This window comes from Homo sapiens, chromosome 1 (genome assembly GCF_000001405.40).
Source record: "Homo sapiens chromosome 1, GRCh38.p14 Primary Assembly".
In the NCBI taxonomy this organism is placed as follows: domain Eukaryota; kingdom Metazoa; phylum Chordata; class Mammalia; order Primates; family Hominidae; genus Homo; species Homo sapiens.
This window is the reverse complement of record NC_000001.11, coordinates 151,109,894-151,131,579: the sequence shown is the minus strand read 5'-3', so window position 1 is coordinate 151,131,579 and position 21,686 is coordinate 151,109,894. Positions and strand designations below refer to the sequence as shown.

At 45.0% G+C, this 21,686-nt stretch overlaps 1 protein-coding gene, 1 long non-coding RNA gene and 1 pseudogene across 10 annotated transcripts in view, besides 1 other annotated feature; 1 reads left to right on the top strand and 2 right to left on the bottom strand.

Annotated features, from left to right (window-relative positions):
* Window positions 400-499: an enhancer, noted in NCBI's record as "active region_1707". NCBI's record gives its function as "activates an Ori minimal core promoter by ATAC-STARR-seq in GM12878 lymphoblastoid cells {active_cell/tissue: GM12878}" and the evidence as "EXISTENCE:reporter gene assay evidence [ECO:0000049][PMID:35858748]".
* On the bottom strand, window positions 1,468-2,366 carry LOC124904418 (uncharacterized). Its single transcript, XR_007066619.1, has 2 exons — window positions 2,167-2,366; window positions 1,468-2,071 (listed from the first exon to the last, which is right to left on the bottom strand). It is a non-coding gene; the product is annotated as an uncharacterized LOC124904418 (long non-coding RNA).
* A 3,671-nt stretch (window positions 2,367-6,037) lies between these two features.
* The window catches only part of GABPB2 (GA binding protein transcription factor subunit beta 2), a 54,782-nt gene continuing 39,133 nt past the window's right edge, over window positions 6,038-21,686 (bottom strand). For 7 of the 9 annotated variants that reach the window (NM_001323912.2, NM_001323908.2, NM_001323910.2 and 4 more), the window contains 2 exons: window positions 14,064-14,188; window positions 6,038-13,623 (listed from right to left, as the gene is read on the bottom strand). In NM_001323912.2, coding sequence (NP_001310841.1) covers window positions 13,324-13,623; window positions 14,064-14,188 — 425 coding nt within the window. In that variant the 3' untranslated portion in view covers window positions 6,038-13,323. The remainder of the gene's footprint in view (window positions 13,624-14,063; window positions 14,189-21,686) is intronic. The other 2 variants (NM_001323906.2, NM_001323911.2) reach the window with 1 other exon arrangement.
* Window positions 19,255-19,745, top strand: RPS29P29 (ribosomal protein S29 pseudogene 29; annotated as a pseudogene).

Sequence of the window (21,686 nt, the reverse complement as noted above, 5' to 3'; positions counted from 1 at the left end):
GGCTCTTACTTAAGGAGCGGGACGGGGGACGAGAGCGTGCGCGGCGTCACACGCACGCTTAGCCACCCCCCAAGAAGCCGCCGCCGCGCTCAAGCTCCGCGCGCTCAGGACCAGGTAGCGTGTAGCTGTCGTGAAGCTCCCTTTGCTCCGGTTGGGACTGGCTGCGGATACCTGTCCGTTATCCCCGGCACCAATGAGAGGGACGAACAGGACCACCTGCACCGCCCACCACCCTCGCTAACAACGCTTTAAGGCCTAACGCAGGAGGCAGCTGGTGCGAATTTACAAATCGGGTTTTTCACCCCCGCGTGGCTGCAATGTCCGCCCAGTTCGAGCCCCACATTCTCCCGCTGGCTCCGCCTGGGGGTCGGGCCAACTCTTGCTGCTAAGGAAGCCTCACCAGTCCCCTTCCCGTTTGCTACCTAAATGTCCTCGGCGGGAAACTGCTGAGAACAATTTGGGGAAGCCTGAACTTGTTCCTAGTTCCGCGCTTTATTACTTGTGATCATGACTGGTCAGAACTCCGCCCGGAGCCTCCATTTGTTCATCTGAAAAATGGGGTTGAGAAGCTCAAGTACCAGAATGTGAAAACGCTTTCTAAAGGCGAAGGCATGGTATCTTGTGAGATAGTAATTCCTTCAAACTCACGCATAGGCTATTCCTATTCCTAACTTTGCGATCTGCTTTCACTAGGCAATCCCTTTCCCTTTGTATCCTTATAATTTTCACCTATAGATTTTACCCCCAGGGTTTTTTAATGCCCTCTGAACATTATTTCCATTTCAGTTAAGCTTGTCTGGCCAAATTTGGTTGTCCTCCAGAGTCTGACCTCTTTTTGCTTGGCGCTTGTTTCACCAGGTTGAAGTGGTCCTTTAGGTCTCAGTTTTTCCCGTATGGGGTGCCTTACTTAAACCAAGGTGCCTCGGGGCCAGTGCTAGTTTCCTAGATACTGGAGGAAAGCAAGCAAGGAAGGAGTAGAGAATCCAGTCACTTGACTTCATTATCCTCTTCAAACCGAAATTTTGAAGGACAAGGAAAAGTTTCAAGGCTGCAGCCTTTCACAGTCCTCTGAGGGACAAAACTCAAATATAGTTCTTGCCTTGAAGGTGGTCACAAACAAAAAGGGTAAATGATCCTAAGGTTTAAATATAGACCTAAAAGAGAGATATATACAATGGAAATTTAATCTTGTAATTCTTTGCAGGCAGCAGTAATTTATAGGTTAAAGTCCTGGTTGTAGTTTAATTATAAAATATGTTCTTTTATTAGTATTTATCACTATGGTGACTTCTTTAGCCAAAGAGTATCTAAACTGAACTCTCAGAGCTAACAGAAGTAACTATGTTGCAGTGAGAGCAACAGTCCTGGGTCTCTACCTCTTGTTTTCTATGTGACCTTGGCAATTCAACCAACATCTTTGAGGCTGTTTTTTTGGTAAGGAATGGAAAGAACATATGGCAACAGGGATTTGTAAAGTACCGTATAAATATATATATTTAAATTAAGTGCTTTGTGGGAAAATGATTTGCCCAAAATAAAGCAGACTTCTACCAAGTATGCAGTTCATTAATACAGATACCTCTCCCTGATAGAGAGTAGTGAATAATAAATTAAGAGGATGAATTAAAGTAAATTATCCCTGACAATAGAAGGATAAATATGACCTCAAGGAATCTGCTAATACTCTTTTTTAAAAAATCATACCATTAGCTCAGTTTTTGTCTTTAGGAAAACCAGAATGTGCCAACGGGAGGATAGCATCATCATCCTCAGGGATTTCTAAGCTGATTTCTCAGAGGCATCCTGGGAGGTTATGGAGAAACCAGGGCCCCAGCAGACAGATTCCATCAGTTTGTGTAAGGCTTTGGGGACTTGAATCACAGAAGGTTCCACAGTCACAGAGCTTGAAAAGCTGTTCAGCATCTTGGGTTCTTTGGGGGCTAAGTCACAGGGGCCTGAGATATTATTGTCTCTCAGGTTTTTAACTCCTTGATGTCACTGTCCCATCCATGAGAACCACACAGGTATGCGTCACTCTCTGCTACTTAATCCAGCAGTTGACCCTTCAGAACTGTTGGCTCATAAGAATATAAGGTTATATGTATGAGAGTAAGGTTCAAGTACATGGATAAAATATGAAGCCTGTAAATCGAAAAGATCACCTACCTTTACCAGGTGTATCAGACAGGGTCCCAACAGGAAATAACATTCTCAAAATAATGAAGGGCTATTTTGAAAGGTATGGGCAAAGGATAGGTCAGTAACTGGAGGCTAATAACTGTATTAGGCCTAAAAGGATAAAAGGAGTTATTAGTTTCTAGGTCCTGGAGGGGGAGAGTGCCTTGAGAGAAGCAGTGACTTTTTTTTTTTTTTTTTTTTTTTTTTGCGATACAGTTGCTGGAGTGCAGTGGTGTGATCTTAGCTCACCAAAACCTCCGCCTCCCAGGTTCAAGTGATTTTCGTGCCTCAGCTTCCCGAGTAGCTGAGATTACAGGAGTGCACCACTGTGCCTGGCAAATGTCAATACATCGACTTCAGTCTTTTCTCTTCCCCCAGTCTCCTGTCAGGGCTCCCTATTGGCTGAATCCAACTGGAGGCCAAAGCACAGGAAGCCCATTGATGTTCATATAGGTCAGTCTCCCAGGACAGAGAACAGGCTACAGAATAGAGGAGCGTAATCTGGAAGGAAAGAAAGAAAACATCCAGCATACCTAGAGATGAAGACCCTATTCATTCCCCACAAGAGAGATTATTTTTTACTCTTCTTGCTCAAGTATTGCTGGCCAGAAACTCTATGCAGATACCCCCAAATTAGTTTTGGAGCAAAATTTACTTTGGGGAGCTTATAGGAAATGCTGCTTGGATCATATTTTTCTTCTCAGTTTCTTTTTTTTTTTTTTGAGACAGAGTCTTGCTCTGTCGCCCAGGCTGGAGTGCAGTGGTGCAATCTCGGCTCTCTCAGCTCACTGCAATCTCTGCCTCCTGGGTTCAAGCCTCCTGCCTCAGCCTCCCGAGTAGCTGGGATTACAGGGATGTGCCACCATGCCCGGCTAATTTTTGTATTTTCAGTAGAGATGGGGTTTCACCATGTTGGCCAGGCTGGTCTCGAACTCCCAACCTCAGGTGATCTGCCCGAGTTTGGCTTTTTTTTTTTTTTTTTTTTTTCCGAGATAGTGTCTCACTCTGTCACCCAGGCTGGAGTGCAGTGGTGCAACTGCGGCTCACTGCAAGCTCCGCCTCCTGCCTCAGCCTCCTGAGTAGCTGGGACTACAGGCGCCTGCCACCACACCCAGTTAATCTTTGTGTTTTTAGTAGAGACAGGTTTTCACCATGTTAGCCAGGATGGTCTCAATTTCCTGACCTCGTGATCCGCCGGCCTTGGCCTCCCAAAGTGCTGGGATTACGGGCCACGGCACCCGGCCCTCAGTTTCTTAAATGCAAATCTGAGATGAATTAAGCTGCCCAAGGCTAGTGAATAAAATAGCATTCTGACAAAAGGGAAATCACAGAGGAAAGTACACTAATTAACTCAATGTAGAAACTGTAGTTTTAGAAAGAACAATTTTAGCCAGGGTGCCATGGCTCACGCCTATAATTCCAACAGTTTGGGAAGGTAAGGCAGGTGGATCCCTTGAGCTCAGGAGTTCAAGACCAGCCTGGGCAACATGGTGAAACCCTGTCTCTACCAAAAATACAAAAATTAGCCAGGCATGGTGGTGTGCACCTGTAGTCCCAGCTTCTCAGTAGGCTGAGGTGGAGGATTGCTTGAGACCTGGAGGTCGAAGGTCGAGGCTGCAGTGAGCCAAGATCATGCCACTGCACTCCAGCCTGGGCAAGAGTGAGACCCTGTCTTTAAAAAGAAAAAAAAAAAAGGACAATTTTTACAAGTGTGTGACTCTGCAAAGTCAACCTATTTTTACAACTATATGATGAGGATAATACTCACCTTACAAGATGGGTATTTATATGTATATGCAGAGTACCTAGCACATTGCCAGACATGTAGCAAAAGCTTAAAACATGGTGGCTATTGTTATTTATAATTTTGGGCCCTTTCCCAAACTTTCCTTTCCTTTACAGCACTACCCTTAAACTTTAGGACTGGTTATAGGAGCAGACTGCAACCCCACACTTTTGTTCAGAAGTCTCCCATAGTCTTAACTTACTCAATTACCTATCAAATGTCTTGCACAAGCCTTACACAGGTGTAGTTATCACTGGGTTGCTCCCACTTCAGCCTTCACCTGTATTTTTTACCTATTGATCTCCTTGGAGTAGAGGGTTCTTTTTTACAGAGGAAGGAAGTCTTAGGAAAGTTGCCCTAGTTCATAATTTTTCCCATTACTTAAGACTATCACCCAGCCGGGCACGGTGGCTCACACCTGTAAGCCCAGCACTTTGGGAGGCCAGTGCGGGTGGATCACCTGAGGTCAGGAGTTCAAGACCAGCCTGGCCAACATGGTGAAACCCCGTCTCTACTAAAAATACAAAAATTAGCTGAGTGTAGTGGTGCATGCCTGTAATCCCAGCTAATAGGGAAGCTGAGGCAGGAGAATCACTTGAACCTGGGAGGCAGAGGCTGCAGTGAGCCAAGATCATGCCACCGCACTCCAGCCTGGGCAACAGTGTGAGACTCTGTCTCAAAAAAAAAAAAAAAAAAAAAAGAGTATCACCCATCAGAGAACTCTAGGTTCCTATCTCTCTAGTTCCCTCCAACTTTCCCATCTTGATGATTTCTCTCACCAGGATTTAATTCAACAAGATTTTTAGTTCTTTGGTTCTTAAGGCTCCACAAGTTCCTGCTTTTTTTTCTGTCAGCACAGCCAAGACTATATATATTAATAAAGTACCTGCCAGAATTACTTTCTATTACTTGAATATGTGCACAGCATTTGCTGACTATATGTATTTACCAAAAAGAAATTATCTACATGTACCCTAGTACATGGTAGGTGTCCAATTTCCTAAATATTGACTTTGAGAACTTACTTGAGATTCCAGTCGCTGAACACAGATGCTTATATGTCCTTAGCTTTGGACAGGCTCAAAGCTAATTTTGTAAAGAAAGGTATCCTTCTTGCCAACAAAACAGCTTTTCAGAACTCTATACACTAGATAGGATACCCATCTTGCTAGTCAAATTGGTCTGTTCACCCCGGCTATCAATGGGGATTGTGCTACTATCAGACTGATCCTCCTATTTTTAAATATAAATGTGTGCTGATTTTGGACTAAGATAGCAGCAAGCACCCTATTAACCAAGAATAGCTGAGAAGCTGGCAAAGTAAATCTACTCTTTCCAAGCACTCCTGAGTCTGATGTTTTTCCCCATACGTCTCAGTATTGACTTTACTCCCACACAAGGCACATAATCATTTTCTTCAGCTACTTTTCTCCTCCCTTGGTTGTTTGCTTTTAGGGAAGGGAGTGGGGAATGAGAGAAAGAAGGAAAATGTACATTTAACAAGCTGGTCAAAAGCTCTCCTCATTCTCATTTCATTTCTTACCTCAACTTGCTCTGCCTGTCAAGAATACCAGGCTGAGAGCGGTGGATAAGGAAAAGGCAATGGCCATGCATGGGTTAGTAGATCTATACCCCTCCCCCTTCAGTTAGCTCAGTTGGACAGGGAAAATGAGCTCTGTGGTTCACCTGTCATTAGAGAATAGATACAAATTTGGCCGGGCTCGGTGGCTCACGCCTGTAATCCCAGCACTTTGGGAGGCCGAGGCGGGCGGATCACGAGGTCAGGAGATCGAGACCATCCCGGCTAAAACGGTGAAACCCCGTCTCTACTAAAAATACAAAAAAATTAGCCGGACGTAGTGGCGGGCGCCTGTAGTCCCAGCTACTTGGGAGGCTGACGCAGGAGAATGGCGTGAACCCGGGAGGCGGAGCTTGCAGTGAGCCGAGATCCCGCCACTGCACTCCAGCCTGGGCGACAGAGCGAGACTCCGTCTCAAAAAAAAAAAAAAAAAAGAGAATAGATACAAATTTTGCCCAGGAGATGAAAACAAATTCAATGACACCCTGAAATGGTCGGCTTTGACATTTTATTGAGAAACATTTTTATTTTAAATGATAGTACAAAAACTGTATATATAATATAGATCTGTATAAGTATATATACATACAAATGCTCATACACACATATACACACAAACTTGCTCATCAGAATAAAACCCTAAATAAAGAAGTATATTTAAGTTTTTCTAAAAATACGCTGTACATAAAGCTGTCAGACAACCTGAAAAACTGAGGACATTGTGAGAACAGTCTGGGCGCATCCCCCCACACACACACCTGCCGCAGTACACACACAAATGGCCTTGACAGAAGGACAGCACATGGGGCAAGGTCAGGGAGAGAGCTGCTACCATCATTGTTGCTAGAACAAGATGTCTAAAGCCAACTAGAAAGCACAGGATATAGAAGGTGACCTAGATTAACTTTCAGAAACAAACCACCTCAGAATAAACAAAAAATATGTGGTAGGGAAGGAGGGGAACGGAGAGAGAAAAGACAAGGCCCAGAGATTAGAAATGACCTACTAACTAAATTCGAATGCCTGGGAAAGCCTCAATGAGATAGGAACAATGGAATCACAAAAGCAGAAAAGGTAGGAGGAGGGGGAGATAGGGAATCACAATTTCCTGTCACTAACATGCCAAACTGCTACTGTAGAGTCTAGGAATGTCACCTCACCCCCTAATACTAAAGAGGCTAAAAAATAAGACAAAAATTTAAAAAGGGCAGCATCAGAGACTTAAAAAAAATTGGCATAGGAAATAATAGTACTACTCAGAAGGGGTAGTACTTCTGAGATATAGTCACCACATAAAATAGAGACAGATAAGAGCCTAGAGTGCATACAGGTGGTCATCACATATAGTCCATTCTGAAGTTCCTTTTCTAGCTATCCAGAGATGGGTTTGCACAAGGAGTAGAGAAGAGGAAGCCTTCTCTAATAAATTAGGACAAAAACTGATTCCCACTCCATATTAAACTTTCAGGAAGAGTTCAGTAAATGCATCAAATTTTCCAGCTCTGGAGGTCTGTAATGATAGGAGAGAGCCACACAAGCTTTCTTAAAATGGTCATCATCATACTGGTGAGAAAAAAAAAAAAAAAAAGAGGCTGGGCGTGGTGGCTCACACCTGTAATCCCAGCACTTTGGGAGGCCAAGGAGGGTGGATCACGAGGTCAGGAGTTCGAGACCAGCCTGGCCAATATGGTGAAATCCCGTCTGTACTAAAAATACAAAAATTAGCGCGTGCCTGTAATCCCAGCTACTTCAGAGGCTGAGGCAGAAGAATCGCTTGAACCCGGGAGACAGAGGTTGCAATGAGCCAAGATCATGCCACTGCGCTCCAGCCTGGGTGACAGAGAGAGACTCTGTTTAAAAAAAAAAAAAGAAAAGAAAAAAGAAAAAAAAATCATTTCTCAAACTGATATTTCTTTTTTTCCTTTTTCTTTCTTTTTTTTTTTTTTGTGAGCCACCGCGCCCGGCCTCTTTTTTTTTTTTTTTTTTCTCACCAGTATGATGATGCGCCACCACCCCCGGCTAATTTTTGTATTTTTAGTAGAGACTGAGTTTCACCACGCTGGCCTGGCCTCAAGTGATCCTCCCATCTCGGCCTCCCAAAGTGCTGGGATTACAGGCGTGAGCCACCATGTCTGGCCAGCAGCTTTACTTATTTTATTTTATTTTATTTTATTTTATTTTTTGAGACCGAGTCTCATTCTGTTGCCCAGGCGATCTGTTGCAGTGGGGCGATCTCAGCTCACTGCAAGCTCTGCCTCCTGGGTTCACGTCATTCTCCTGCCTCAGCCTCCCGAGTAGCTGGGACTACAGGCACCCACCACCACGCCCGGCTAATTTTTTGTATTTTTAGTAGGGCCAGGGTTTCACTGTGTTAGCCAGGATGGTCTCAATCTCCTGACCTCGTGATCCACCTGCCTTGGCCTCCCAAAGTGCTGAGGTTACAGGCGTGAGCCACTGTGCCCGGCCAGCAGCTTTATTTTAAAGTAGACAACCATCCTAAGCTCGAAGTTTCTCTTGCTCAAGCACCAATTCTGATCCATTTGTCTGTTTTTTCTTTCTTTCCTTCTTTTTTTTTTTTTTTTGAGACAGAGTCTCGCTCTATTGCCCAGGCTGGAGTGCAGTGGCACAATCTCAGCTCACTGTAAACTCCACCTTTTGGGTTCAAGCAATTCTCCTGTTTCAGCCTCCAGAGTAGCTGGGACTACAGGCGTATGCCATCATGCCCAACTAATTTTTGTATTTTGGTAGAGACAGGGTTTTGCCATGTCGGCCAGGCTGGTCTCGAACTCCTCACCTCAAGTGATCTACCCACCTCAGCCTCTCAAAGTGCTGGGATTACAGGCGTGAGCCACCGTGCCCAGCCATTTTTGTCTGCTATTTGATTCTTAATAATCCAACCTTGCCAATAAACAGTTGGAATCCTCTAACCCAGAAGATCTAAGCAATATTTCCCCAACTTCCATGACTAATCCAGAAAGATATGCAAAGTCATGAAATGGTATTGCCATTAATGTATTCAATATTTAATTTCTAACTACTTCAAAGCATCCTCACCTGCCATTCTCTCCATGGCAATACAATTGGAGATCAAATCCTATTTCCCTTATCTGGGATGCCAAGAGGACCGTTCCGAGTAAATAAAAATCAATGCCTTTTTCTTACTTATTTTCAGATACCTCCATTCTCTCCCTCTCTACCCTAGCCTCTCCTCTAACAAACTGCCCTATCTCAGAGACCCATCATAAAAAATGACTTGGCCTGTATTAGAGATTTTGGGGGTTGGGGAGGTAGGAATGATAGCTTCTGCAGAAAGAACAATAAGATCTGCTAAAGAATTCCCCCAAAAAAGTGGTGACTGTATAGTCAGAAGGGCATGTTGGATGGACATTCTCTGCCTTTAGTCAGTAGCCACCCCAGAGAGTGAGCTGGTTGGGCCTGAATATCATCTGCAGAGTTAACCTCCTTCCCCTTAATGGGCGAGGTGTGGGGGAAGAGGGATTAAAGTCAACATATGCACCGAGAACATAAATAAAAGATATCTAAAATGATACTTGGTTCCTCTATCGTTAAAGTAAGGCTCCGAAATCCCACACATAACAGCTTCTTGTTAGCACCTGGTTCCCAAAGGGACTCAGAAAAAATAAAAACATTGCAAACAGGAAAAGATTATTTGACAGCAGATAGAACAATTTCATCATCACCCTTACCTAGGCTACTCCCCCTCACATTTTCCTGTCATCCCCAACAGCCCAGAATATTCTCCAATCATCTGGGAAGTGTTAAGTACTCAGATCTGTGGAGAAAACAGATCTGTGGAGAAAACCTAGCTAAGGTGGCCAGTAGCCAAGGTTAATTTCCAAACTGATATTTTTGCCTATAAATCTCTAATAACCAATTCTGTTTGTTAAATTTGGTTTGGGGAGTTAAATTTTCAGTCTATTTTGAGACCCAAGTGATTCTGCTCCTCTGTAACACTGCAGCAAATTACTTCACTAATCAAGGTAAACAGAACCATGTTAACTGTCAGGTTTTTTCCAAATTAAAAATGCATGTTTTCCCCATGACTGCTAATTAAGAAAACCATATTCTAAACAGTCATTCGAATGTTTACTTGGCACATCTCCCTCTGGTTTCTTCTAATTTATAACAAAGCAAGCAAGTCTAGAATGATGAGGGCCCAGTTTCAAAGGCAATAACCTCTGTAACATAACCTGTTCATAACCTCTCTCTCTCCATCCATATTCCCTTTCTTTGGGAAAAACTCCATGCTGACATACAAAGAAAACCCAGCAGGTAGGTGGTCAGGCGCAGTGGCTCACGCCTATAATCCCAGCACTTTGGGAGGTCGAGACAGGTGGATCACCTGAGGTCAGGAGTTCAAGACCAGCCCGACTAACATGGAGAAACCCCATCTCTACTAAAAATACAAAATTAGCCAGGCATTGTGGCGCATGCCTGTAGTCCCAGCTACTCGGGAGGCTGAGGCAGGAGAATCACTTGAACCCAGGAGGTAGAGGTTGCGGTGAGCCAAGATCACGCCATTGCACTCCAGCCTGGGCAACAAGAGTGAAACTCCGTCTCAAAAAAAAAAAGAAAAAGAAAAAGAAAACCCAGCAGTTAAACACTTTCCAAAAGTGTCTGGGCAGAGGAAGTGTAGGCATAGTGGGAGAGAAAGGAAGAAGACAAAGTAGCCAGAATCTTTGGTTCTTTATGGCACTGACAGTTCTTATTCCCTTTGTCAACACACACTGAGCACCCTATAAGGCACAAAGCTCTGTAACAGACCCAAGCTTAAGGAAACAGAGCAATTTACTCATGCCAGATCAAAAGGAAATAAAACTAAACAACATCATCAGCATTTACCTCCGACCCCCTTTTTGTTGCACATAAGAGGATAAGATATAAGCTCCACAGAAAAGCACAATATGTCCTAAATGACACTTAGAAAATTCAACAAAGTTTTATAAAATTAGAGTCTAGGCTGTGCGCGGGGTGGCTCACGCCTGTAATCTCAGCATTTTGGGAGGCCAAGGCGGGTGGATCACCTGAGGCCAGGAGTTCCAGACCAGCCTGACCAACATAGAGAAACCCTGTCTCTACTGAATATACAAAATTAGCCGGGCGTGGTGGCGCGTGCCTGTAATCCCAGCTACTCGGGAGGCTGAGGCAGGAGAATAGCTTGAAACCGGGAGGTGGAAGTTGCGGTGAGTTGAGATCACACCATTGCACTCCAGCCTGGGCAACAAGAGCAAGACTCCGTCTCAAAAAAAAAAAAAAAAAAAAGAGAGACTGAGCTTGACATTACATAAATGTTTGGAAACAAGTTTTTCTGACAAGAGACTACCCTCCTCACTGTAATTTTATGAAATCCAGTCAGAGCAAAGTTTATATGTCAAGACCAGAGTTTCATAGCCCCTATAAGCCTTTTTCTGGCCACTTCCCAGCACTGTGGAAACACAGCCTGGATTTTGGTTTTATATATACTCCTCCCACATAAACAAGTTTTCTTTCTTTTCTATTTTTTTTTTAATTGAGTTTCACTCTTGTTGCCCAGGTTGGAGTGCAATGGTGCCATCTCGGCTCATTGCAACTGCCGCCTCCCGGGTTCAAGCGATTCTCCTGCCTCAGCCTCCTGAGTAGCTGGGATTACAGGCATGTGCCACCACACCCAGCTAATTTTGTTTTGTTTTGTTTGTTTGAGACAGAGTCTCACTCTATCGCCCAGGCTGGAGTGCAGTGGCATGATCTTGGATCACTGCAACCTCTGTCACCTGGGTTCAAGTGATTCTACCGCCTCAGCCTCCCGAGTAGCTGGGATTCCAGGTGCCTGCCACCTCGCCAGGTGAATTTTTGTATTTTTAGTAGGGTTTCACCATCTCGGCCAGGCTGGTCTTGAACTCCTGACCTCATGATCCACCCACCTCAGCCTCCCAAAGTGCTGGGATTACAGGCATGAGCTGCCGGGTCTGGCCCTAATTTTGTATTTTTAGTAGAGACAGGGTTTCTCCATGTTGGTCAGGCTGGTCTGGAACTCCTGGCCTCAGGTGATCCGCTCGCCTCGGCTTTCCAGTTCAGTTTTTAAAAACTCTATTTCAATTTCCTTTTTTTTTTTTTTTGAGACAGAGTCTGGCTCTGTTGCCCAGGCTGGAGTGTAATGGTGCGATCTCAGCTCACTGCAACCTCCGCCTCCCGGGTTCAAGCGATTCTCCTGCCTCAGCCTCCCAAGTAGCTGGGATTACAGGCAGGTGCCACCACGCCCGGCTAATTTTTTGTATTTTTGTTTGTTTGTTTTGTTTTTTTGAGACAGAGTCTCACTGTGTCGCCAGGCTGGAGTGCAGTGGCACGATCTTGGCTCACTGCAACCTCCACCTCCCAGGTTCAAGCAATTCTCCTGCCTCAGCCTCCCAAGTAACTGGGACTACAGGCGTGTGCCACTATGCCTGGGTAATTTTTGTATTTTTAGTAGAGACGGGGTGTCACCATGTTGGCCAGGATGATCTTAATCTCTTGACCTTGTGATCCGCCTGCCTCTGCCTCCGAAAGTGCTGGGATTACAGGCGTGAGCCGCTGCGCCCGGCCAATTTTTTGTATTTTTAGTAGAGATGGAGTTTCACCGTGTTAGCCAGGATGTTCTTGATCTGACCTCGTGATCCGCCCGCCTCGGCCTCCCAAAGTGTTGGGATTACAGGCGTGAGCCACCACGCCTGGCCTAGTTTCCTTTTTCCTTTGAGATACAGTCTTGCTCTGTCACTCAAGCCTGGAGAGCAGTGGTGCAACCATGGCTCACTGCAGTTTTGACCTCCAAGGCACAAGCGATCCTCCCACCTCAGCCTCCTGAGTAGCTGGAACCATAGGTGCCTGTCACCATACTTGGCTAATTTTTAAATTTTTTGTAGACACAGGTTTCTATGTTGCCCAGGCGCATCTCAAACTCCTGGACTCAAGCAATTCTCCCATTTCAACGTCCCAAAGTGTTGGGATTACAGGTGTGAGCCACCACACGCAGCTTATTTCAGTTTCTTACACAAGCATCTGAACTATAGACACATAATGGATAAGTATCTGTCAGACAATCAAAAATTTCTTCTCAGTGATGTGGTGGCATATGCCTGTCCTCCCAGCTACTCAGGAGGCTGCGCCCTGGAGGCGGAGGTTGCAGTGAGCCAAGATTGCACCACTGTACTCTAGCCTGGGTGACAGAGTCAGACCGTGTCTCAAAAAAAAAAAAAAAAAGGGAAAATTCTCTTCAGTGAAATTAACTTAAGGTTGGGAGTTCCTGCTCCTTTGGAAATGGACTATATTCCTTTTCTCTTCCCCAAAGCTTGTCTAACTTCCCTTCCAATTGGTTTTTCCAACAGATACGCATCATAAATCTAAGGGGCATTTTCAGGTCACTTGATGGTATAATTATTAAAGGCATATATATTGGTGCATATATATTAGAAATGTTATCTTAAAATCTTTTGTGAGAAAGTCAGTTATTTAAAAAAAAAAAATCAACCCACAACATGCAGTATTCTTTTACTTCTATGTTTAAAGCAATGATATGAGCTAAGAAATTTGGTCCTTTATTCTTTTGGCCCCTCAGAAAAAATGTTCCCTAAATATGGCTTTGAATTTTCTAGTTGCACAGAGAAACTTCCTGAGCCCAAGCATTGTACCCTGCTATAGTTTTCTTCTTAAAGACACTCTTAGTTTTTATACAATGTTTGTCTTCTGTATATTTCCTTTTTTAAAAGAGGATTAATATGAACACAGTGCAAATTGTGGCCCTTGCATATTAAGATGAAACAGTTGCCATGGAAACTCTAGTGTGAGGCTCTGTGGTCCCTGCTGACCCAGTCACTTTTGTCTCTCTCTCTTCCAACTCCCCCTCTGTGACTACTACAGCATCTACCTCAGCCACCTCTTCAACCATGGTGAAATCAACTCCATTGGGCTGCTGTCGGGCTATGGCCTCCAGCTTAAGACGGTACTGTTCTGCTTCCTGCTCTTTCTTTAGGAGCTGGTGTCGGTATTCCTGGGCTCTTCGATTGGCCTCCTGGAGTTGTTGCTGTAGTAGCTCTCTTTCATTGCCTTCCTGTAAAAGTAAGCCATGTCACCACCAGGTAAATTCCTGATCATAAATTATCCAGACAGTAGACAAAAAGACAGGCCAGGAGCGGTGCCTCACACCTATAATCCAAGCACTTTGGGAGGCAGAGGTAGGCAGATTATCTGAGGTCAAGAGTTCGAGACCAACTTGGCCAACATGGCAAAACCCTGTCTCTACTAAAAATACAAAAATTAGCCAGGCATGGTGGCAGGTGCCTGTAATCCCAGCTACTCAGGAGGCTGAGGCATGAGAATCACTTGAGCCCGGGAGGCGGAGGTTGCAGTGAGCTGAGATCATGCCACTGTACTCCAGCCTGGGCAACACAGCAAGACTCCGTCTCAAAAAGAAAAAAGAAAAGATGAAGAAGGGTTCAGGCCTTAATAATTAAGGCTTTAAATTCTTTTCATCACTCCTAAAAACATTACCTTGCTTTCCTCCACACTGTTTGTCTTCTCTCCTATCCTTGGTTTCTTTGTTAGTGGCAACTTCTCTTCTTCTTCCTCTTTAATTACAGTCTCCTCTGCAACCTTACCAGCAGGTACAGTTAGAACTACAAGTCAAAGGACACCAATTGGAGGTGATGAATGCATAATAAAACAAAGAGGTTTTGCTTGCTTTTAATTAGAAAATAAACTAAAATATATTCTAGGTTGGGTACAGTGGTGTGTGCCTGTGGTCCTAGCTACTCAGGCAGCTGACTGGAGGACTTCTTGAATCCAGGAGTTCAAGACTAGCCTAGACAACACAGCAAGACCCCATCTCAACAAAAAAGCAAAGAAAGAGAAAGTAAAATATATTCCTTGATATATTATTTTTAATATCTCTTTGAATTTTCGAATCAACAGGTAAGGCATGGCCCTTCAGGGAGAAACAAAAAGGATTAATAGAGCACTGAGAATGGCTCAAAAAGGAAGGGTATAGATTTGCAGGCTTGGAAGCCATGCAAGTAAGTCCCAAGTCTGAAGCTCTTATATGAAGGTGTCTGACTCTAGGTCACCTATGGCCAATTAGCTTATCAATCCGCCCAGAAATGGCAGGGCAAGGTGGCTCACACCTATAATTCTAGCATGTTGGGAGGCTAAGGTGGGAGGATCACTTGAGCCCAGGAGTTCAAGACCAGCTTGGGCAACATGGCAAACACTGTCTCCGCAAAAAAAATACAAAAAATTAGCCAGGCATGGTGGAGCATGCCTGTAATTCCAGCTACTTGGGAGGCTGAAGTGGGAGGATCACCTGAGCCTGGGAAGTTGAGGCCGTAGTGAGCCAAGAACTCGCGACTGCACTCCAGCCTGGGTGACAGAATGAGACCCTGTCTTAAAACAAACAAACAAACAAAAAAAACTGCAGAAATAATCTGTCAAAAGAAGGCCTGAAGTCTTTATATATTTTTGAGACCTCTAATAAAAGCCAATAGCCATTATCTGTACCTAAATTAATTCTCTTCTCATAGATAAGTGAGAGAAGAGTCAACACACACACAACACACATGACACACTACACATCTGTCAGAATGGCTAAAAGTTGTTTTTTTTTTTTTTTTGAGATGGAATTTTGCTCTCGTTGCCCAGACTGGAGTGCAATGGCGTGATCTCTGGAGTGCAATGGCTAACTGCAACCTCCGCTTCCCAGGTTCAAGTGATCTCCTGCCTCAGCCTCCCAAATAGCTGGGATTACAGGCATGCCCCACTACACCCGGCTAATTCTGTATTTTTAGTAGAGACAGGGTTTCTCCGTGTTGGTCAGTCTGGTCTCAAACTCCCGACCTCACGTGATCCACCTGCCTTGGCCTCCCAAAGTGCTGGGATTACAGGCGTGAGCTACCACACCCGGCCTTTTTTTATCGAGAAGTCTCACTCTGTAACCTAGGCTGGAGTGCAGTGGCACAATCTCAGCTCACTGCAACCCCCACCTCCTGGGTTCAAGCAATTCTCCTGCCTCAGCCTCCTGAGTAGCTGGGACTACAGGTGCATGCCATCACACACAGTTAATTTTTGTATTTTTAATAGAGATGAGGTTTCTCCATGTTAGCCAGACTGGTCTCAAACTCCTGACCTCAGATATTCCACCTGCCTTGGCCTCCCAAAGTACTGGGATTACAAGTGTGAGCCACTGTGCCGGGCTAAAAGTTTTTTAAAAAGTGATGATACCAAATGCTGGAGAGGATGTAGACATACTGGATTATTCATAAATTGCTGGTGGGAATGTAAAATGGTACAGCCGCTCTAGAAAATAGTTTGGCAGGATGGGCGCAGTGGCTCATGCCCTGTAATCCCAGCACTTTGGGGGGTCGAGGCAGGCAGACTGCCTGAGCTCAGGAGTTTGAGACCAGCCTGGCCAACATGGTGAAACCCCATCTCTACAAAAAATACAAAAATCAGCCGGGTGTGGTGGCACCTGCCTGTAATCCCAGCTACTCGGGAGGCTGAGGCAGGACAATCACTTGAACCTGGTATGCGGAGGTTGCTGTTAGCTGAGATAGTGCCACTGCACTCCAGCTTGGGTGACAGAGTGAGACTCCATTTGAAAAAAAAAAAAAAAAGAAAATAGTTTGCCAGTTTCTTTCTTTCTTTCCTTCCTTCTTTTGAGACGGAGTTTCATTCTTATTATTCAGGCTGGAGTGCAATGGCGCGATCTCGGCTCACCGCAACCTCTGCCCCCAGTTCAAGCGATTCTCCTGCCTCAGTCTCCTGAGTAGCTGGGATTACAGGCATGTGCCACCACACTCGGCTAATTTTGTATTTTTAGTAGAGATGGGGTTTCTCCATGTTGGTCATGCTAGTCTCAAACTCCCGACCTCAGGTGATCCGCCCAAGTTTGGCAGTTTCTTAAAAAACAAAACAAAACACACACTTACCTTATGACCCAGCAATTGTACTCTCGGGCATTTATCCCAGAGAATAGAAAATTTATTTCCTACTTGTTTTTTTCTTGAGACGGAGTCTGGCTCCACCCAGGCCGGATTGGAGTGCAGTGCAATGATGCTGGCTCACTGCAACCTCCACCTCCCAGGTTCAAGTGATTCTCCTACCTCAGCCTCCCGAGTAGCTGGGATTACAGGTGCCTGCCACCACGCCTGACTAATTTTTGTACTTTTAGTAGAGATGGGGTTTTGCCATGTTGGGCAGGCTGGTCTCAAACTCCTGATCTCAGGTGATTCACCCACCTTTGCCTCCCAAAGTGCTGGGATTATAGGCTTGAGCCACCATGCCTGGCCTATTTCTCATTTGTTTTCTTTTCTTTTCTTTTGAGACAGAGTCTCGCTCTGTCTCCAGGTGGAGTACAGTGGCACAATCTCGGCTCACTGCAACCTCCACCTCCTGGGTTCAAGAGATTCTCCTGCCTCAGCCTCCCGAGTATCTGGGACTATAGGCATATGCCACCACACCCAGATAATTTTTGTATTTTTAGTAGAGATGTGGTTTCACCATATTGGCCAGGATGGTCTCGATCTCTTGACCTTGTGATCCGTCCACCTCGGCCTCCCAAAGTGTGTGAGCCACTGAGCCCGGCCCTATTTCCCATTTTTTTATTTCCCATAAGAACCTGTAAACAATTATGGTGTTCATAATGCTTTATTTATTTATTTATTTATTTATTATGAGACAGAGTCTCACTCTGTTACCCAGGTTGGTGTGCAGTGGCAGAATTATGTCTCACTGCAGCCTCAACCTCCTGGCCTCCAGTGACCCTCCCAAGTAGCTGGGACTACAGGCACACAAAAGCACGCCTGGCTAATATATTTTTTTTTTTGTATTTTTTTTTAGAGATGGGTTTCGTCATATCGTCCAGGCTGATTTCAAACTCCTGGGCTTAAGCTATCTGCCGGCGTAGTCCTCCCAAAGTGCTGGGATTATAGGCATGAGCCACTGTGCCCAGCCAGTTTTATTTTTAGATAGCTGAAACTGGAAGCAGCTTAAATGTCCTTCACTGGGTAAATGGTTAAACAAACTGTGGTACATCCATATCATGGAATAATCTCAGCAATAAGAAGGAATGAAATATTGATTCAAACAACAACTTGGATGGGTATCAAGGGAATTATGCTGAAAGGAAAAAAGCCAATCTCAAAATCATGTATACTGTATGATTCCACTTATATAACATTATTGAAATGACAAAGTAGAGGATGGGCACGGTGGCTCATGCCTGTAATCCCAGCACTTTGGGAGGCCAAGGTGGGCGGATCACCTGAGGTCAGGAGTTCGAGACCAGCTTGGCCAACATGGCAAAACCCTGTCTCTACCAAAAATACAAAAAATTAGGTGGGCATGGTGGCATGTGCCTGTAATCCCAGCAATAGATTTCTCTGTATTATTTCTTAGAACTGTACTGAATCTTTAATGATCTAAAAATAAAAAGTTAAAAATTATATTTACGTTTTAGGATATATTATGATTATTTTAAAACAGAAGATTTGGCCAGACACGGTAGCTCATGCCTGTAATCACAGCATTTTTTTTTTTTTTTTTTTTGCAGTTGGAGTCTCCCTCTGTTGCCCAGGTTGGAGTGCAGTGGCACGATCTCTGCTCACTGCAAGCTCCGCCTCCGGGGTTCACCCCATTCTCCTGACTCAGCCTCCGGAGTAGCAGGGACTACAGGTGCACGCCACCAGGCCTGGCTAATTTTTTTGTATTTTTAGTAGAGACAGGGTTTCACCGCGTTAGCCAGGATGGTCTCGATCTCCTGACCTCATGATCTGTCCACCTCGGCCTCCCAAAGTGCTGGGATTACAGGTGTGAGCCACCGCACCCGGCCAATCACAGCATTTTGGGAGGCCAAAGTGGGAGGAAAGCTTGAGTCTAGGAGTCTGAGACCAGCCTGGGAAGCTTAGCAAGACCTCATTTCTATTAAAAAAAAAAATTGAGGGGCTAGGCGCAGTAGCTCATGCTTATAATCCCAACACTTTAGGGGCTGAGGTGGGCACATCACTAGGTCAAGAGATCAAGACCATCCTGGCCAACATGGTGAAACCCTGTCTCTACTAAAATACAAAAAAAAAAAAAATTAGCCAGGCGTGGTGGTGCACACCTGTAGTCCCAGCTACTCAGGAGGCTGAGGCAGGGGAATCACTTGAACCTGGGAGGCAGAGATTGCAGTGAGCCGAGACCATGCCACTGCACTCTAGCCTGGTGATAGAACGAGACTCTGTCTCAAAAAGAAAAAAAAAATTCGGGAGCTCCTTCCTTTTACCTCGTTGCACTCTTGAGAGCAAGATGGGTTACCAGCAGCTCTACTGGAGCCACCCACAAAAATTTGGCCAGGGTTCTTGCTCTTGTCATGTCTGCTCAAACCAGCATAGTCGGCCAGGTGCGGTGGCTCACACCTGTAATGCCAGTGCTTTGGGAGGCCGAGGCCGGCAGATCATGAGGTCAGGAGTTCAAGACCCGCCTGACCAACATGGTGAAACCCTGTCTCTACTAAAAATACAAAAAATTAGCCGGGCATGGTGGGAAACGCCTATAATTCTAGCTACTCAGGAGGCTGAGGCAGGAGAATCGCTTGAATCCGGGAGGCAGAGGTTGCAGTGAGCTGAGACCACACCATTGCACTCCAGCCTGGGCGACAGAGTGAGACTCTATCTCAAAAAACAAAAACAAAAACAACAACAAAAAGAAAAAATCAGCACAGTCTGATCCGGAAATATGGCCTCAATATATACCGTCAGCCTTTCCATCAGTACATGAAGGATATAGGTTTTTTTTTTTTTTTTTTTTTTTTGAGATGGAGTCTCGCTCTGTCGCCCAGGCTGGAGTGCAGTGGCGTGATTTCGGCTCACTGCAACCTCCACCTCCCGGGTTCATGCCATTCTCCTGCCTCAGCCTCCCGAGTAGCTGGGACTACGGGCGCCCACCACCACGCCCAGCTAATTTTTGGTATTTTTAGTAGAGTCAGGGTTTCACCATGTTAGCCAGGATGGTCTCGATCTCCTGACCTCGTGATCCGCCCGCCTCGGCCTCCCAAAGTGCTGGGATTACAGGTGTGAGCCACTGCGCCCAGCCACAGGATATAGGTTTCATTAAATTGGACTAAGTGATCTCTCTTGAATGGATTATCCAAGGCATGCACCCAATTAAAAACCATGTTAGCTCTTCATATATGAAAATTAAAGGCCGGGCACAGTGGCTCATGCCTGTAATCCCAGCACTTTGGGAGGCCGAGGCAGGTGGGTCACAAGGTCAGGAGTTCGAGACCATGGTGAAATCCTGTCTCTACTAAAAATACAAAAATTAGGCCGGGCGCGGTGGCTCACACCTGTAATCCCAGCACTTTGGGAGGCCGAGGCGGGTGGATCACGAGGTCAGGAGATCGAGACCACAGTGAAACCCCATCTCTACTAAAAATACAAAAAAAATTAGCCGGGCGTGGTGGCAGGCGCCTGTAGTCCCAGCTACTCAGGAGGCTGAGGCAGGAGAATGGCGTCAACCCGGGAGGTGGAGCTTGCGGTGAGCCGAGATCACGCCACTGCACTCCAGCCTGGGTGACAGAGCGAGACTCTGTCTCAAAAAAAAAGAAAAAAAAGAAAAAAAAAATTAGTGGGGGGCGGTGGTGGGCGCCTTGTAATCCCAGCTACTCAGGAGGCTGAGGTTGGAGAATTGCTTGAACCCAGGAGGTGGAGGTTGCAGTGAGCCGAGATTGCGCCACTGCACTCTAGCCTGGGTGACAGAGCAAGACTCCGTCTCAAAAAAAAAAAAAGAAAAAAAAAATTTCGGGAGCTGTAGCAGGAGGATCACTTGGGTCCTGAATATCAAGACTGCCGTAAGTCATGATCGTGCCACTGCACTCCAGGCTGGGGCCACCACATCTGGCTAATATTTGTATTTTTTCAGTAGACATGGGGTTTCACCGTGTTGGCAAGCTGGTCTTGAAATCCCGACCTCAAGCGCTCCTCCCGCCTCAGCCTCCCAAAGTGCTGGGATTACAGGTGTGAGCTACCATGTCTGGACAAAAATTTAAAAACAAAAACAAAAAAACAGAAGATTTACATAATCATTGGGTTTGGCAGATTTAAAAATTGGTTTGTATTTCTTTATAAACTCATCAACTGATGTCAGTGGAAAGCAGCTTAGATATATGTTGAGTAGAAATGGAAGTTTAGTCTGGGATTTAAATTTTTCTGCAGATAACTCATGAAATCTGTTTTCCTTCTTTGGGCCTTAAACATATTTGTAAAAAGTAGTATAGGCTGAGCACAGTGGCTCATGCCTGTAATCCTAGAACTTTAGGAAGCCAAGGTAGAAGGACTGCTTGAGCCCAGGAGTTTGAGGCCAGGCTGGGTAACATAGGAAGACCTTGTCTCTACGAAAAAGTAAAAAATTAGCTGGGTGTGGTGGCTTGCACCTGTGGTCCTAGCTACTTGGGACTTGAGGTGGGAGGACTGCTTGAGCCTAGGAGGTTGAGGTTGCAGGGAGCTGAGATTGCACCTCTAAATAAATAAATACATAAATTTAAAAAATAAAAATAAAAAAGTAGTATAGTTTATTTAGGTAAAACCTCAATTCTATTCTTTTTCTCCAAAACAACTCAGTTTTCATTTATTTATTTCCATTATAAGCAGAGTCTCTCACCTACCCAATGAGCCCTAAAAACTTAAAATGATAACTATGTTCACAAAAATATCAGCAATGCATAAATTAGAATTTATGATACCAAAGTTTGGATTATAATAAGTTTAATTCTTATCTTCCCATACTTTCTGATCCATCAGTTGAAATAATTAAAAAATTATAAATCCCAACACGGGCAACATAGTAAGACCCAGTCTGTACAAAAAATAAAAAAAGACCAGGGGTCGTGACTCACACCTGTAATCCCAGCACTTTGGGAGGCCAAGGCAGGCAGATCACTTGAGTTCAGGAGCTAGTGACCAGCCTGGCCAACATGGCGAAACCCTGTCTCTGCAAAAAAAAAAAAAAAAAAAAAAAAAAAAAAAAAAAAATTAGCTGGGCATGGTGGCACATGATTGTAATCCCATCTACTCCGGTGGCTGAGGCAGGAGAATCACTTGAACCCGGAAGGCGGAGACTGCAGTGTGCCGAGATCACGCCACT